Source organism: Homo sapiens, chromosome 17 (assembly GCF_000001405.40).
Source record: "Homo sapiens chromosome 17, GRCh38.p14 Primary Assembly".
In the NCBI taxonomy this organism is placed as follows: Eukaryota; Metazoa; Chordata; class Mammalia; order Primates; family Hominidae; genus Homo; species Homo sapiens.
Genome location: NC_000017.11, coordinates 10,173,287 through 10,188,536, shown reverse-complemented (window position 1 = coordinate 10,188,536; position 15,250 = coordinate 10,173,287). Strand labels below are relative to the sequence as shown.

Here is a 15,250-nt window from a genome sequence, read left to right as displayed (position 1 = left end):
AAAAAAAAAATGGTATTGGCAGGGTGTAAGGAAATGGTCCTGAGCTTCCTGAAGGACCATTTGGCACTGTACAATTCCACTTCTAGAAATTTCTTCTCAGGGAGCATCTGATATATCAGGCAAGCTGTAAATATCAGCGTATATTACATCACAGCCTCTGATAGCACAAGATGAACAACAACCTCAATGTACACCAGAAGGAACTAGTTAAAATCAGGTTTACCTGCGCTTAGCAGGTCAGAACATGCGGAAGGGGTTCAGTAACTATATTGAAATGGATTTTTTTTTTTTCTTGAGGTGGAGTCTTGCTCTGTCACCCAGGCTGGAGTGCAGTGGCGCGATCTCGGCTCACTGCAGCCTCTGTCTCCTGGGTGCAAGTAATTCCCCTGCCTCCGCCTCCCGAGTAGCTGGGATTACAGGTGCCCACCACCATGCCTGGCTAATTTTTCCATTTTTAGTGGAGATGGGTTTCACCATGTTGGCCAGGCAGGTCTCGAACTCCTGACCTCAAATGATCCACCTGCCTCGGCCTCCCAAAGTGCTGGGATGAAACTGAATTTAAAAAATAAAAATATTGGTTAATGATGCTAAATGTCTTTGTGGAGCTAGCATAGTTCACATTTCTCCTCACAGTGAGGCAAAAAGAGATGGTGTGTCCAGAAAAGAATTACTTTTCAAAAGTGGGAACTGTGTGTACCAAACATTCTGTAAGTATCCTTTTGTGGGAAGAATAGGTAGAAGGAATACATGCTGGCCCGGGACTGCATTCTTATAAATATCCTCAGTAACAGCAAATCTTTGTCTTTTGAGGGGTGGATTTGATTTTTTTTGGAAACAGCCAAAATTCATTCAAAGCCAAGTCTGGTGTGTCTGTTCATGTGACTGTCTGTCTGTCACCTTGTGGCAAATAGGATTTAAGGCAGCTTACCAAAAAGCATACGGTACAAAAAGATAAAAGCATAAACACATGAGGAAATCTGTGGAAAAGAAAAACTCAGATGATTCCGGAGTGAAGTTTGATGAGCAAAGCGAGTAACTGAGTTAAGTAATGCCGTTCAGGGCTAAAAAAGAGGTCCTACCTTAAAGTAATGATGAATTTGAGCAGTGAATGAGGAGTAACAGAAATATTCTGAAAAAGGTAGCATTGTGGGGGTGTGTGCTATATGGGTCAGGATGGGTTACTTTATGCCACCACAGCAATCTCAGTGGTAAAGCAACATGGATTTGCTTTTTGCTCATGTTGTAAGTCTATTGTGAGTTGGTCCAAAGCCGCAAGACCTCCAGGACCCAGGATGATGGAACGCCCAGTGTGTGGAATGCTCAGGGACTGTGTCAAACAGCACATGGTTCTTAAAGCTTTTGCCCAGGAATGACACATGACACTTCTGCTGGTATTTTATTGTCTAAAGCACAGCCACACCTAACTTTAAGACAGTGAAAAAATACAATCCTGCCGTGTGTTTGGAAGGAGAAAAGGAGCAAGCTGTATCTATGTAGATGGCCCTGTTGACCACCACATGGGTAACCACTCATGGGGACACCCCAGTTCCTGTCTGTTTCAGTTTCAGCATTTTATCATCGCACCTAGAGCAGTGCTTCTCAGACTGAATTCAGTGCTGCTACAGCAAAGTGGTTTCTGTTTTTTTTTGGAGACAGAATCTTGTTCTGTCGCTCGGGCTGGAGTGCAGTGGCACTGTCCTGGCTCACTGCAACCTCTGCCTCCCGGGTTCAAGTGATCCTCCTGCCTCTGCCTCTCAAAGTGTTGGGAGTATAGGCATGAGCCACTGTACCCAACCCAGTCTAATATTTTCATATTATAAAGAAGGCTTTGGGCCGGGCACGGTGGCTCACGCCTGTAATCCCAGCACTTTGGGAGGCTGAGGTGGGTGGATTATCTGAGGTCAGTAGTTCGAGACCAGCCTGGCCAATGTGGTGAAACCCAGTCCCTACTAAAAATACAAAAAAATTGGCCTGGCTTGGTGGCACATGCCTATAATCCCAGCTACTCAGGAGGCTGAGGGAGGAGAATTCGTTGAACCCAGGAGGTGGAGGTTACAGTGAGCCACCGAGATCGCACCACTGCACTCCAGCCTAGGCAACAGAGTGAGACTAGGTCTCAAAAAAAAAAAAAAAAGCCTTTGAATACGTGGGGCCTGGCTTCTGGTGTAGGGACATCAGAGCCTAGCTGTACAATATCACTATACATGGTGTGAGATCTGTGCTTCTCCAACATGAATGGGTGTGCATATCACTCGAGGCTCTTGTTAAAATGCAGACTCTGGCCACGCGCGGTAGCTCACACCTGGAATGCCAGCACTTTGGGAGGCCGAGGCAGGCGGATCACAAGATCAGGAGATCGAGACCATCCTGGCTAACGCAGTGAAACCCCGTCTCTATTAAAAAAAAAAATACAAAAAATTAGCTGGGCATGGTGGGCACCTGTGGTCCCAGCTACTCTGGAGGCTGAGGCAGGAGAATGGCGTGAACCAGGAGGCGGAGCTTGCAGTGAGCCGAGAATGCGCCACTGCACTCCAGCCTGGGTGTCAGAGCGAGACTCCGTCTCCAAAAAAAAAAAAAAAAAAAAAAATGCAGACTGATTTAGTAGTCTGAAGTGGAAACCTGAATCTGAAAGAAAAAACCAAACTCTCTGCTCACACTCCATCCTGTTTCTCCACACTCACACAGCACCAGACACTTCTGTGACTTGATTGGGGGTGGCGAGTGTTTTCCCACACACCAGGCGGGTTCTTCAGTGGACACCAGCTGAACCTCTTATATTTCTATTGGGTTGTGACATTGTCTACCTGGTGTTGGAGTCAGATCCTACAGGCTGAGAGCGCAGTCCCACAAGAGTGCCCCACTTCATATGTCAAGTAGTGTCACTTATATTTCTGATTGACCGGCTGTAAATTGGGTTTCCCACTGCTCCCTGCTTGGGTTTGATTAATTTCCTAGGATGGCTCACAGAACTTGGGGAAACACGTTTACTGGTTTACTATAAAGGATACAGATGAACAGCCAGAGGAAGGGGTGCATTCTGCAAGTTGAAGAATTTTTCTAAGTTTCCCAGGATTGCTCTGAGGGCCAGGAGAAGCTGGGAGAAGAGCTTGGCACCTTGTACACACTCCATAAGTGGAATTCATATTTCTGCATGCTCTAGTGATCATAGTTGAATGCTGGGGGCTGCCTGTTCAATGCCAGGGCATATGGGGGTAGGGGTGTGCAGCTTCCATGCCCTCTCTGGACTCTCCTAGCACCTCCATGTGTTCAGCAACCCAGAAGCTTATCAAATCTTGTTCAAGAGTTTTTATAGGCTGGGCAGGGTGGCTCATGCCTGTAATCTCAGCACTTTGGGAGGCCGAGGAAGGTAGATCACCTGAGGTCAGGAGTTCAAGAACAGCCTGGCCAACATACAAAACCCCGTCTCTACTAAAAATACACAAATGAGCCTGGTGTGGTGGCACGCGCCGTAGTCTCAGCTACTCAGGAGGCTGAGACAGGAGAGTTGCTTGAACCTGGGAGGTGGAGGTTGCAGTGAGCCTAGATCACACCACTGCACTCCAGCCTGAGTGAGACACAGCAACACTCCGTCTCAAAAAAAAAAAAAAAAAGAGTTTTTATAGAGCTTGGTCTCCAGCCTCCCATGGCCCCCCTTTTCCTGGAGGTCAGCAGGTGGGGCTCAAAAATCCCAACCCTCTAATCCTCTAATAACTTGTTCCTGGTGACCAGCTCCAACCTGGGCTATCTGAGGGCCCCCACCCTAAGTCACCTTATTAGCATCCACTGAAGTGTGATCAAATGGGCTCATTATGAATAACAAACAACATTCCTATCAGGAAATTCCAAGGGTTTGAGGAGCTATGTGGCAGGACCTGGGGACAAGGACCAAATATATTTCATATTACACCACACTGGGATTCTGCATTTCCCGCCAGCTCCCAGGTGATGCCACTGCTTCCAGTCTGCCGGCCACAATTTGAGTAGCAAGGCATTTGAATACCCTTAGGGGTTTTCAGTTTGTCTGCAAGACTTGTTAAATCCTGGAATTAGATTGGATTTAGTTTACTTTCATTCTTTCTCTTTAAAAGTGGATTATATGAGGCTACCCAGGGTCATGGAAAGAACACAGGTTTTGGAATTAGACCTCTGTGAGTATATTTAATCCGAGGACAGAGATATGGTGGCTGGTGTTCCTGTTTGACCAGAGGAGTTTCCTTGATCATGAGGTGGAGGTGGGCCTCAGGGAGGCTTTCCTGGGGCCAATGCCAGGAGCCTGGCTAAGGAGGAAGTGCAGGATTCAGCCGCTGGAAAGGCTGGGGGGCAGGGTCTGGACTGCAGTATGAACCAGGACGATGGAGAGGCAGCCAGGGATGGTCTTGCCAGATGCCAACAGTGTCAGGAAAAACATATGCAACGGGGACATGGTCTCTACATCTTGAGACAGTTTATCAGTTCCAAGGGGATAACTGGTTGTTTTGTGTGGTTTGGTTTGTGAACTGGAATGTGAGCCCTGCAGCTGCTCCCAGTATGGACAGCTTAGACAACAACGTTCAAGGGTCGGCCAGAAACCCCTGGGAGGTGGGGGCAGCAGAGTGCTTGGCAAGAGGGTGGCAGGTCTGCGTACAAATCCCAGCTCAGCCCCTGCTACCTGTGTGAGAGCCCAGGCAAGTTGCAGAATCTTTTTTTTTTTTTCCTGAGACGGAGTCTCGCTCTGTCGCCCAGGCTGGAGTGCAGTGGCGCTATCTCAGCTCACTGCAAGCTCCGCCTCCTGGGTTCACGCCATTCTCCTGCCTCAGCCTCCCAAGTAGCTGGGACTACAGGCACCCGCCACCACGCCCGGCTAATTTTTTGTATTTTGTTTAGTAGAGACGGGGTTTCACCGTGTTAGCCAGGATGGTCTCGATCTCCTGACCTCGTGATCCGCCCGTGTCGGCCTCCCAAAGTGCTGGGATTACAGGCGTGAGCCACCGCGCCCAGCCAGTTGCAGAATCTTTCTAAGTCTCCCAGGGCTCCTCTGAGGATCAGGAGAGCCTGGTAGAAGAGCTTTGGCACTTTGTACACACACACTCTGTAAGTGCAGTTTACCTTCCTGTATGCTCTGGTGATCATAGTTGGATGCTGACAGCTGCCTGTTAACTGGAGTTTCATTGGGGCACACAGGGCGGATGGTGTTGGGGAAGTAGGGGGACCCTTTTCCAAGGGCCTCTCTGAGGTCGTACTGCAAGACTGTCTGGTGCAGCATTATCGATGAGGCACAAATCACTTGTGAGTCTTATGAAATGCAGATTTGGATTCAGTAGGTCTGGGGTGGGGCCTGAGATTCTGCATCTCCAGCATATTCCCATGGGATGTTGCTGGTATTGGGATAACACTTGGGGAGTTGCATACAAGATGGTATAGCATTTTCCTGAGGGTTTTCGGGGCGTAGGTCCTACAAGTGAAAGCAAGGGAAGCTGCAGCGTCTGGCCATTGCTAGTTTATTTGAAACTGCTACATAATGGTTGCTGCTCCTCAGGCTGGGCTAATTAGTCTTAATGGCTTCTTACCTGGGTTTGATGGGCCTCCGGCTGCCTGGGCACTCCCACACAAAACTCTTTTTGTAATGAGGAAAAGGCTATTTATTGGGAGAGGTGAAACTCAGGAGACTGCTGAAGGACTCAAGCATTCGTTTTTGTCTTTTTGCCTGTTGCTGGGGCAAAGGAAAGGTTTGTTTCAAGGGGCTGGATGGAAAATCTCTTTTTAAAGTGTTGCTGTGGAGCTCAGAATCTAATCCTGGGCCCGTGTTGTAGGGCTGTACACTGCAGATGGTGGCGGTACCACAAAGCCGGTGTCTCCTGCAGCCCCTAGATGGAACTCTCAGGTCCTTGCTGTCGGAGACTTAGTCTGGATTTCTGCCGTGTGCCCTAACAGGAGTGGCTGTCCATTTTATCCCCCTAGTGATGTCCATCTGTCACAGGGTGAACCCCAAAATTGGGGCTGAGCCTGGGAGGCCACATGGGTTCTTGGCTTCACACAGGAAATAATTCAAGAGTTAGCTGACAAAGTAAAAGCAAATTTATTAAAAAGTAAGGGAATAAGGCCGGGTGCGGTGCCTCATGCCTGTAATCCCAGCAGTTTGGGAGGCCGAGGTGTGTGGATCACCTGAGGTCAGGAGTTCAAGATCAGCCTGGCCAACATGGTGAAACCCCATCTCTACTAAATATGCAAAAATTAGCCGAGCGTGGTGGTGGGCGCCTGTAATCCCAGCTACTCGGGAGGCTGAGGCAGGAGAATCGCTTGAACCCAGGAGGTGGAGGTTGCAGTGAGTCGAGATCGTGCCATTGCACTCCAGCCTGGGTGACAAAAGTGAAACTCCGTCACACACACCAAAAGTAAGGGAATAAAAGGATGGCTACCGCTTAGGTAGCAGTATGGGCTGCTTGACTGACTATACTTACTGTTATTTCTTGATTATATGCTAAACAAGGGGGAGATTATTCATGAGATTTCTGGGAAAGGGGTAGGGAGCTCTGGGAACTGAGGGTTCCTTCCCCTTTCAGACCATATAGGGTAACTTCCAGTCATTGCCATGGCATTTGTAAACTGTCCTGGCGCTGGTGGGAGTGTCATTTAGCATGCCAATGTGTTATAATTACCCTATAATGAGCAGTGAGGATGACCAGCGGTAGCCTCTGGCTGCCATCTTGGTTTTGGTGGGTTTTGGCCGGCTCCTTTACTGGATCCTGTTTGATCAACGGGGTCTTTGTGACCTGTATCTTGTAAAACAAGTCCTGCCAAATTCCTATCTCATATCCTCCAGAGTGATGGTGCAGTGATTTTTGTAGCCAGTTTGATCACGGAACTCTGCTGTTTAACATTTTTCATAGGTTCTTCATTGCCTTTACAATATACCATGCCTTAGCCTTGTTTACAAGCCCTTCATGACCCAACCCCTGTCTATCTCCTGAGCTGCATTTTAGCTATTTATTCACGTGCATGATGTTATCAGAACCACATGGAACTACCTGATTCTTGGGTACAGCTTTGCTTTTTTTTGCTTCTGTACCCTGTGCATGCTGTTCCTGTTCCTCGAAGTAACCCTCCTCCCCCATCCTCTTCTTTACCCTTACTCCCTTTTCTTTCTGTTTGACAGCTCTATTGAGATATATCCCCATTCTATTCTATTCTTTTTTTTTTTGAGGTGGAGTCTTGCTCTGTCACCCAGGCTGGAGTGCAGTGGCTCAATCTCAGCTCACTGCAATCTCCACCTCCTGGGTTCAAGCGATTCCCCTGCCTCAGCCTCCCGAGTAGCTGGGATTACAGGCATGCACCACCACGCCCAGCTAATTTTTTGTACTGTAGTAGAGACAGGGTTTCACTGTGTTAGCCAGGATGGTCTCGATCTCCTGACCTCGTGATGTGCCCGCCTTGGCCTCCCAAAGTGCTGGGATTACAGGCGTGAGCCACCGTGCCCCCACCGCCACCCCCGCACTGCCACCCCCCACCCCCCGCCACCCTCATCCTTATTCTAGACCCCTTAACACTTACCCTACTGGGTTGGAATTTTGTTGCCACCCACTACATTGTGGAATCCTTGAGCTCAAGGATTGGGTCTCTGATCTTTTAAGCCTTTAGCGTCCTTGTACAACCAGGCTTAGGGACTTGATAAGAAAACAAAGGGTTATAGTTCCCTCATGCTGACATTCATGGTGCCGATGAATACCAGATTCTGAGTTTGCTGCCCATGGTAGTTACTTGGCTTCACATGGGGAAAAAAGTAACAATAAGGAGTTACAATAAAATAAATACAAAACAATAAAAATCCCATGCAGGCATCTTACACATGCATAGGATAGGTAACAAGATTGATTGGGGAACAGAGTGTGTGTGACTCAAATAGAACATCCCTGCTGCAGGGCAAATAACTCAGATTCCATGAAGTCATTGTATATATAGGGCAGCAAACCATTATTATTTCGTGCTGGAGAGAAAAACAGGCGTTGAAGAAATCGGCCTCCCTTGGGATTGATTTGATTATTGGGTGACTCCTTGGATGGGGGTGTTCTCGATTTGTGGGCATCTTGGCAGGCAGTTTGGTGCAATGGTGATGAGCGTGGTGTTTAGAGCTGATCAGACCTGGGTTTGCATGCTGGCTGTATGAGACTTTAGGCATATTATTTACCTTAACTTCTACCTCAGTTTCCATAGCTTTTTTTTTTTTTTTTTGAGGCAGAGTTTTGCTCTGTCCCTCCAGGCTGGAGTGGTCTTGGCTCACTGCAACCTCCGCCTCTCGGGTTCAAGCGATTCTCCTGTCTCAGCCTCCCAAGTAGCTGGGATTACAGGCACCCACTACCATGCCTGGCTAATTTTTGTATTTTTAATAGAGATGGGGTTTCCTCACGTTGGCCAGTCTGGTCTCGAACTCCTGACCTCAGGTGATCCACCTGCCTTGGCCTCCCAGAGTGCTGGGATAACAGCCATGAGCCACCACGCCCAGCCATTAGTTTCCGTATCTTTAAGTGGGAATAATAAGGCCCACATCAGAGGATTGTTGTGAAAGTTACAATTGTTTTCCTAAACGTAAATGCTCCACTGAGAGCTTGACACCAGTTCTCAGTATTTGCTGATGGTCACTGCCATATTACGTATTTTGCATCCATTGCTCAGAATGCTGGTCATTACTATTTGCCTTCTTTATTAATAAAAGAAACCTGCTGTCTCGGAGCGTCCTTCCCAACCTCCTGGTCACCATTTTGGGTGGGGACCTTGTCTTTCTGACCCCTGGCCACTGTCACCTTAAGTCAGTTTCAATCTTGGTTCTGTTTGTCTGGTTTTAGCACCATCAGGTCCCTGTTTGTCTGGTTTTAGCACTGTCATTGAAGACATTTTTGCCCAAGGAAGTCACAGCCCTTCTGTGGATCTCTGAGTTTGTTATAGTGTATTTGGACCACAAACTTAAACCAAAAATTCATGTTCATAGTCTCAGTCTCCTCCTATCCAGATCCTCCCTGCATGTGATAAAATGTGACCAAGAATCTTAAGAGGTTAAGGGGATTGAAGGGGAGGGGAATCTTAGATAAGGTGACAGATAAACCAGCTTGGAAACACGGAGTTTTCTGCAACAGATTGCATCCAAGATCTCCTGAAATATCTCCCTGCTTGGTATAAGGGAAAATACTCTCCTCTCATTTGGTGTCACAGGACCTATGAATTTTTTTTTTTTTGAGATGGAGTTTCACTCATGTTGCCCAGGCTGGAGTGCAATGGAACGATCGATCTCGGCTCACTGCAACATCCGCCTCCCAGCTTCAAGCGATTCTCCTGCCTCAGCCTCCAGAGTAGTTGGGATTACAGGCATGCACCACCACGCCCGGCTAATTTTGTATTTTTAGTAGAGACCGAGTTTCTCCATGTTGGTCAGGCTGGTCTCGAACTCCCGACCTCAGGTGATCCGCCCACCTCAGCCTTGCAAACTGCTGGGATTACAGGCATGAGCCACCGTGCCTGGCCAGATGTTTTCAAGTTGATGTGTCTTGTGACATGGCAGAGGGGACATTGGTTCTCTCAGCCAGTCGACTACAGTTTTTGAGCTCTTTCTGTGCCCCAGCACCTGTCTGTCCTGGCCGTATAATCGGATCCTCCAAGGTGGTGGTTGTAGGGCTCTCTCTGCTCACCTTTTTTCTCTAATTCCCTCTGTTAACCAGCGAACAAAGAAAAGCCCTCCGCTGTCTGCCGTGACAGCCCACACAGGGAAGAGGGCAGAGATCTTCCTGTTTCTGATGACTTCTTGCTTTGAAAAGAGGAGGCAATTTTTGCTCATCAGCAAAAAAAAAAAAAAAAAAAAAAAAAAAAAAAGGTGGTGGGGGAGGGAGGGGAGTTGAGTTGGTGGTGAAGCTCTTTCAAAGATTTGCCTGTCCCTCTAGCCAGATTACTAATGCATGCTGATTAGAATGTGTGCTGGGAGAGACAGTGAGCTGGGGTTTAGGGATGTTCACAGGAGAGGTATGAGACAGGCTCCGTGTATGGTTTTCTGGAGCCCTGTGGTGGGCGTGGCTGTCAGATCCTGATAGGGTTTAGAATTTCAGATGGGCTTCTTCTGCCTCACCTGGGAGAAAATAGCCGGAGTGGACATGAAGCCAGACTCCTTCCTCATCTATGCAGAGTCCTCTATGTGGAGTCATTCAGAGAGTGTGGGGGTGGGGGCGGCGAGTTTGGGAGATGTTGGTATGGACTTGCCAAGGCATTGCCAAGCATTCCACGGGCACCACAGAACCATCTCTGGCCTAAGCCCTTCGTCCTGGTCCAAGAAGCCAGCGATACTTCTTGGCATTGCTGAATGGGAGAGGCAGGGGAGCTGAGCTTGCCTGGAATCCCCCATCTCCCAGCCCTGGTGCTTGCTTCAGGGGCCTGGATAAAGCAGCTGCTCATTCTGCCACATACACTCCCAGGGGACTGTGACTCAGGCTCTGGATCACTCCCTCCAGGAATCCCTCCGGCTCTGTAGGACCCAGTTTGAAAACCCAGTGTTATGTGATGCTAAATGCTGACATTCCTTCCCTGCCTGTCAGCTTTGCTCTCGGAGGTGCCTAATGGCGCCAGTGCTGACCTAATGCGGCCGGTGTTCTGGTTTGTTTCTGAATTGCGTGTTGAGGTAGTTGGGGGGCTTTGTTACTCTGGGTGGCTGGTCTGCTTTATTATTAGTCTTGGGGAAATGATTTCTCTGAGAAGCAGTAGAAGGTGTAAATTATGCTTCACTGCAAATCATCAAGACTATATATATATTCAGCTACAGCTGCAAGTCTCTTGCAAATGAGGACTGATGTGAGATGCAGCCAAGTTGGAAAGGGTTACGGTGCAGACAGGCAGCTGACATGATTGATAATCATGCAGTCACCTGTACTTGGCTTTCTATGGCTTGTGGTCTGGGGAGAAGAGCAGCAGTCATGCTTAGAGGCTATACTCCATCTGAGAAGGCTGGAGGGCAGCAGTGAGAAGGTAACACCTCCATAGGAGCAGACACAGTCTCCATTAACCTGGTCCTTAGTAAATATCTCTTGGGTTTCCACCGAGCCAGGGACCCCACACATGGCGTCAGCAGCATCCTCTCCACACCTGATCTCCACTGGCTCCCCATTGCTTGAAGTGTCAAGACACTCCTCATCTGGACCTTGCACAAATATGGACCCTGTACAAACTGCACCTGGCCTCACTCCTTCTCCAGCCTCCTTACTTTCCCTCTCCTGGGGAGCGGGAAGCAACCTGACACCTCTGTGCCTTTGCTCGGCTGCAGCTTCTGTCTAGAGGCCCTTCTCATCCCTGTCGAGGGAATGATGATCTTTTATCAAGATCCAGCCCATGGACCCCTTCCTCTGTGTGGCCTTTGCTCTCCCCCAGGCAGAGTCCTTTCTTCTGCTGGCTTGCATGGGGATCTCCTGCTGGGATGGCACCAACCACATGGGACTGCGATGCCTTATTTATTTGACTGTTTCCTCCATTACACTCTGAGCTCTGCAGGGCCAGGAACGCCACTTCCTAAACTTTTGTAACTACTCTGGTCTGGCATGGTGCTTGGTGTCTCTGAAGTCTGGCTCAGTAAGTATTTGATGACTGGATGGGTGAATCAAAGAGGATAAAGGGAGAGCTTGCCTTAAGAACTGGGGACATCTTGTCTGATTTTGGCTCACGGCTTAACCAGCTTGGGGTCACGGACGGCCAAGGTTAGAAGGAGTATAGCCAGGTCATCTTGGAGTGCTGACTATTAAGGGAAGGCCACTGGCTCCTGGAGAACAAGGCCATTGAGCCCCAGGCCAGGACTCCCAGGATTGGCAAGTGAAAGGCAGCTGGATGCTTGGAGTGGTCCTCTCTCCTCATCTCCTTCTCAGTAGGGCTGCTGCAGGGACAGCTGGGTGTAGCTGAGGGCCCTGGGTTTTAACTACGGTACCTTCCAACACCCCTTCCACAGAGTTATTGGCTCTTTGGCCTTGCAATGTTCATGTAAGATCTCTGACCTTCAGTTTTTTCAGCTGTCAAAAGGGTGGTGACACCCATTCTGCTGCCCATTCAGGGTGACTAGAAGGATTTTGAGGATGACTGGAAGGATTTTGAAGGTGATGGTGGCTGTGTACGGGATTTGAAGTTTACGGGTGATGAATGCAAGCGGTGCTAAGAGACGCTGTGCAGGGAGGAGAGTGGGGGAGTCTCTCCCCAGCTCTTGCACCCAGCTGTCCCGACTCAACCAGGTGGCTTGGTCTAACCCCTCACCTCTCTGCTGTGGTCATCCTTTCTCCTCTGGCCTCTTTGAAGTTGCTTCTGAGGCCTCCTCCTAAGACCTCCTCCCTGTCCCTGCTATCCGATTAGGAAAGCTGTTGGAATTCTTGGCCCAGACAAGCTTTAATCATTTGCAGTAAGAGCTCTGTTGCCTCCTTCATCCTTCCCTGCCTTCAGTTAAGCCCCTCTAAGGCTCGAGGTGTGTTCTCAACCCTGGGATATAGCCGAGAATGAGATGGAGTGGACAGGACTCAGGGGTCCCTAGGATCAGAGGGTTCATTGTCCGTGGGGAACCAGACCGAGTGATAACGGGGATGTGCCCAGCACAGTGAGGGGCCCCAGGGGACAGTCAGGGCTGTGGGAGTGCTCAAGAATACCATGGGCTGAGTTTGGACCCACTCCCCACTCGTATTTGAAGTCCCAACCCCTAGTACCTCAGAATGTGACTGCATGTGGAGAAAGAGTCTTTAAAGAGGTAAGTTAAAATGCATGGCCAGCTGTAGTAGCTCATGCCTGTAATCCTAACCCTTTGGGAGGCCAAGACAGGAGGATCACTTAAGGCCAGGAGTTGAAGACAAGCCTGGGCAACATGGTGAGACCTTGGCTCTACAAAGTACAAATAAAAAGAAAAAGAATTTTTGACCACACTGTTGTAGGTCAAGGAAAATAACTAACTAACTAACTAACTAACTAAATAAAATGCGGTCATTAGGGTGGGCCCTCATCCTGTATGACTGGTGTCCTTTTAAGAAAGGGAAATGAGGACACAGATACACACAGAGGGAAAACCGTGTGAAGACATAGGGAGAAGACGGCTGTTTGTAAGCCAGTGGGGAGAAGCCTTACAAGCAACCTTGAGCTTGGATTCCCAGCTTCTAGAACTGTGAGGAAATAAATTTCAGTGGTTTAAGCCACCCAGTCTATGATTCTTTTTTGTGGCAGCCCCAGCAAACTCACACAAGCCCCTTACCCTGGGCTTGGGTAGGCAACTTATTTACATAGTTCCACATGGGATCAAAACCTTGAAAAAACATAGGGACCTAGGGACAGTTTGCTTGTCCCATTTTTCTTACTAACATGTATTCCTAGCTGAAGGGTTATATAGTTCACTTCTTTACCTTATTATCATTAGAATGTGAACTCCAGGCCGCGCGTGGTGGCTCGTGCCCATAATCCCAACACTTTGGGAGGCCGAGGCAGGAGCATCACTTGAGCCCAGGATTTCGAGACCAGCCTGGGCAACATAGTGAGACCCCCATCTCTATAGAAAATAAAAAATTAGCCAGGCGTGGTGGCATGCACGTGTGGTCCCAGCTACTCGGAAGTCTAATGTGGGAGTATCGCTTGAGTCCAGGAGGCCGAGGCTGCAGTGAGCTGTGATTGTGCCACTGCACTCCAGCCTGGGTGACAGAGTGAGACCCTGTCTCAGAGAAAGGAATGTGAGCTGCATGAGGGCAGAGCTGCATCAGGTCAAAGCCCGTGAAGGCACTGGCACGTGTCTTTTGGAAGAATTCTGTCTGAACCTGGGGCCTGAAGTCAAATTCCTCACTCTGGGCTTCAATCCAGAATTGTTTTTTATTTTTTTTAATTATTTTTTTTGATACGGAGTCTCGCTCTGCCGCCCAGGCTGGAGTGCAGTGGTGCGATCTCAGCTCACTGCAAGCTCCGCCTCCTGGGTTCACGCCATTCTCCTGCCTCGGCCTCCCGAGTAGCTGGGACTACAGGCGCCCGCCACTGCGCCCGGCTAATTTTTTGTATTTTTAGTAGAGACGGGGTTTCACCATGTTAGCCAGGATGGTCTCCATCTCCTGACCTCGTGATCCGCCCGTCTCGGCCTCCCAGAGTGCTGGGATTATAGATGTGAGCCACCGCGCCTGGCCAGAATTTTTAATTAAAATAGCTGGTTTTCTGCATCCAGGTCTCTGTTTAGTGCTCACCCTGCAAGGTGAGTTGCTGTTTGTTCTACAGACTGCATCCCCTATATCCCTCTAATCTCTACTCAGTCCCCAAATGTGATTAACATGTGTTAAAAATCAGAGAAGAAAGATTCCTTTATTAGCTTTTGTTTACACTGGGTGAATTGAGCCACAGACTATATTACACTAAGTCCTAGCAGCCTATGAGTTTGAACGTTGTCACCCTCCAGAGGGTTTGCTTAATGAGGCCAGGGATTCCATCATTAGTGTCCTGAAACGCCTATGACAGTGCCTGGCCCAGGGTTGGGCACTTACTCATGTTATTCACTTATTCATATGTGGGAATGAACAGTTCAGCCAGTATAAAGGACAGGTGAGTACACACCAAGGAGATCTTCAGGGAGAGATCAGCTGGTTTTCCTGTGAAGATGTCAGCTTCATCCCTCCACCGTCTCCCTGTGCTCATGGCTCTGTTCCCTTTCCAGGCTGCTGCTGCTGGTTCTTTGGGTCTGCAGCCACCTCCCACCCCCATGAAGGGCAAACCCAGCATTATGTTACCTCCTCAGTATAAAAGGAGAGAGGGTCTCTTTTTTTTTCTTTTTTTTTTGAGACGGAGTCTAGCTCTGTCCCCCAGGCTGCAGTGCAGTGGCACGATCTCGGCTCACTACAAGCTCCCCCTCCCGCATTCACGCCATTCTCTTGCCTCAGCCTCCCCAGTAGCTGGGACTACTGGCACCCGCTGCCACACCCGGCTAATTTTTTGTATTTTTAGTAGAGACGGGGTTTCACCGTGTTAGCCAGGATGGTCTTGATCTCCTGACCTTGTGATCCGCCCATCTCTGCCTACCAAAGTGCTGGAATTATAGGCGTGAGCCACCGCGCCTGGCCGAGAGAGGGTCTCTTTTTATACCTCAGAGCTCCTCGGGTCCCTGATTTCGGGAAACTCATTACTTACCTAGGAATCATTCCTCCTTCTCTTCATTTTTTTTCTCTCCCTCTTCCCCGCCTCCCCTTCTACTTTTAAAAAAAGTTGTGTTAAAATTCACATAACATGAAATTCACCATTTTAATGTTCAGTGGCATTTGGT

The 15,250-nt window shown here is 48.8% G+C and overlaps 1 protein-coding gene across 1 annotated transcript in view, besides 2 other annotated features; it reads left to right on the top strand.

Moving 5' to 3' along the window:
- Window positions 1-15,250, top strand: part of GAS7 (growth arrest specific 7) — a 288,001-nt gene that overhangs the window by 10,070 nt on the left and 262,681 nt on the right. The window lies entirely within an intron of this gene.
- Window positions 7,439-7,981: an enhancer, noted in NCBI's record as "NANOG-H3K27ac hESC enhancer chr17:10083873-10084415 (GRCh37/hg19 assembly coordinates)". NCBI's record gives its function as "activates a minimal SCP1, AML or CMV promoter by ChIP-STARR-seq in naive H9 embryonic stem cells {active_cell/tissue: H9 hESC(naive)}" and the evidence as "EXISTENCE:reporter gene assay evidence [ECO:0000049][PMID:30033119]".
- Window positions 14,409-15,234: an enhancer, noted in NCBI's record as "H3K27ac hESC enhancer chr17:10076620-10077445 (GRCh37/hg19 assembly coordinates)". NCBI's record gives its function as "activates a minimal SCP1, AML or CMV promoter by ChIP-STARR-seq in primed H9 embryonic stem cells {active_cell/tissue: H9 hESC(primed)}" and the evidence as "EXISTENCE:reporter gene assay evidence [ECO:0000049][PMID:30033119]".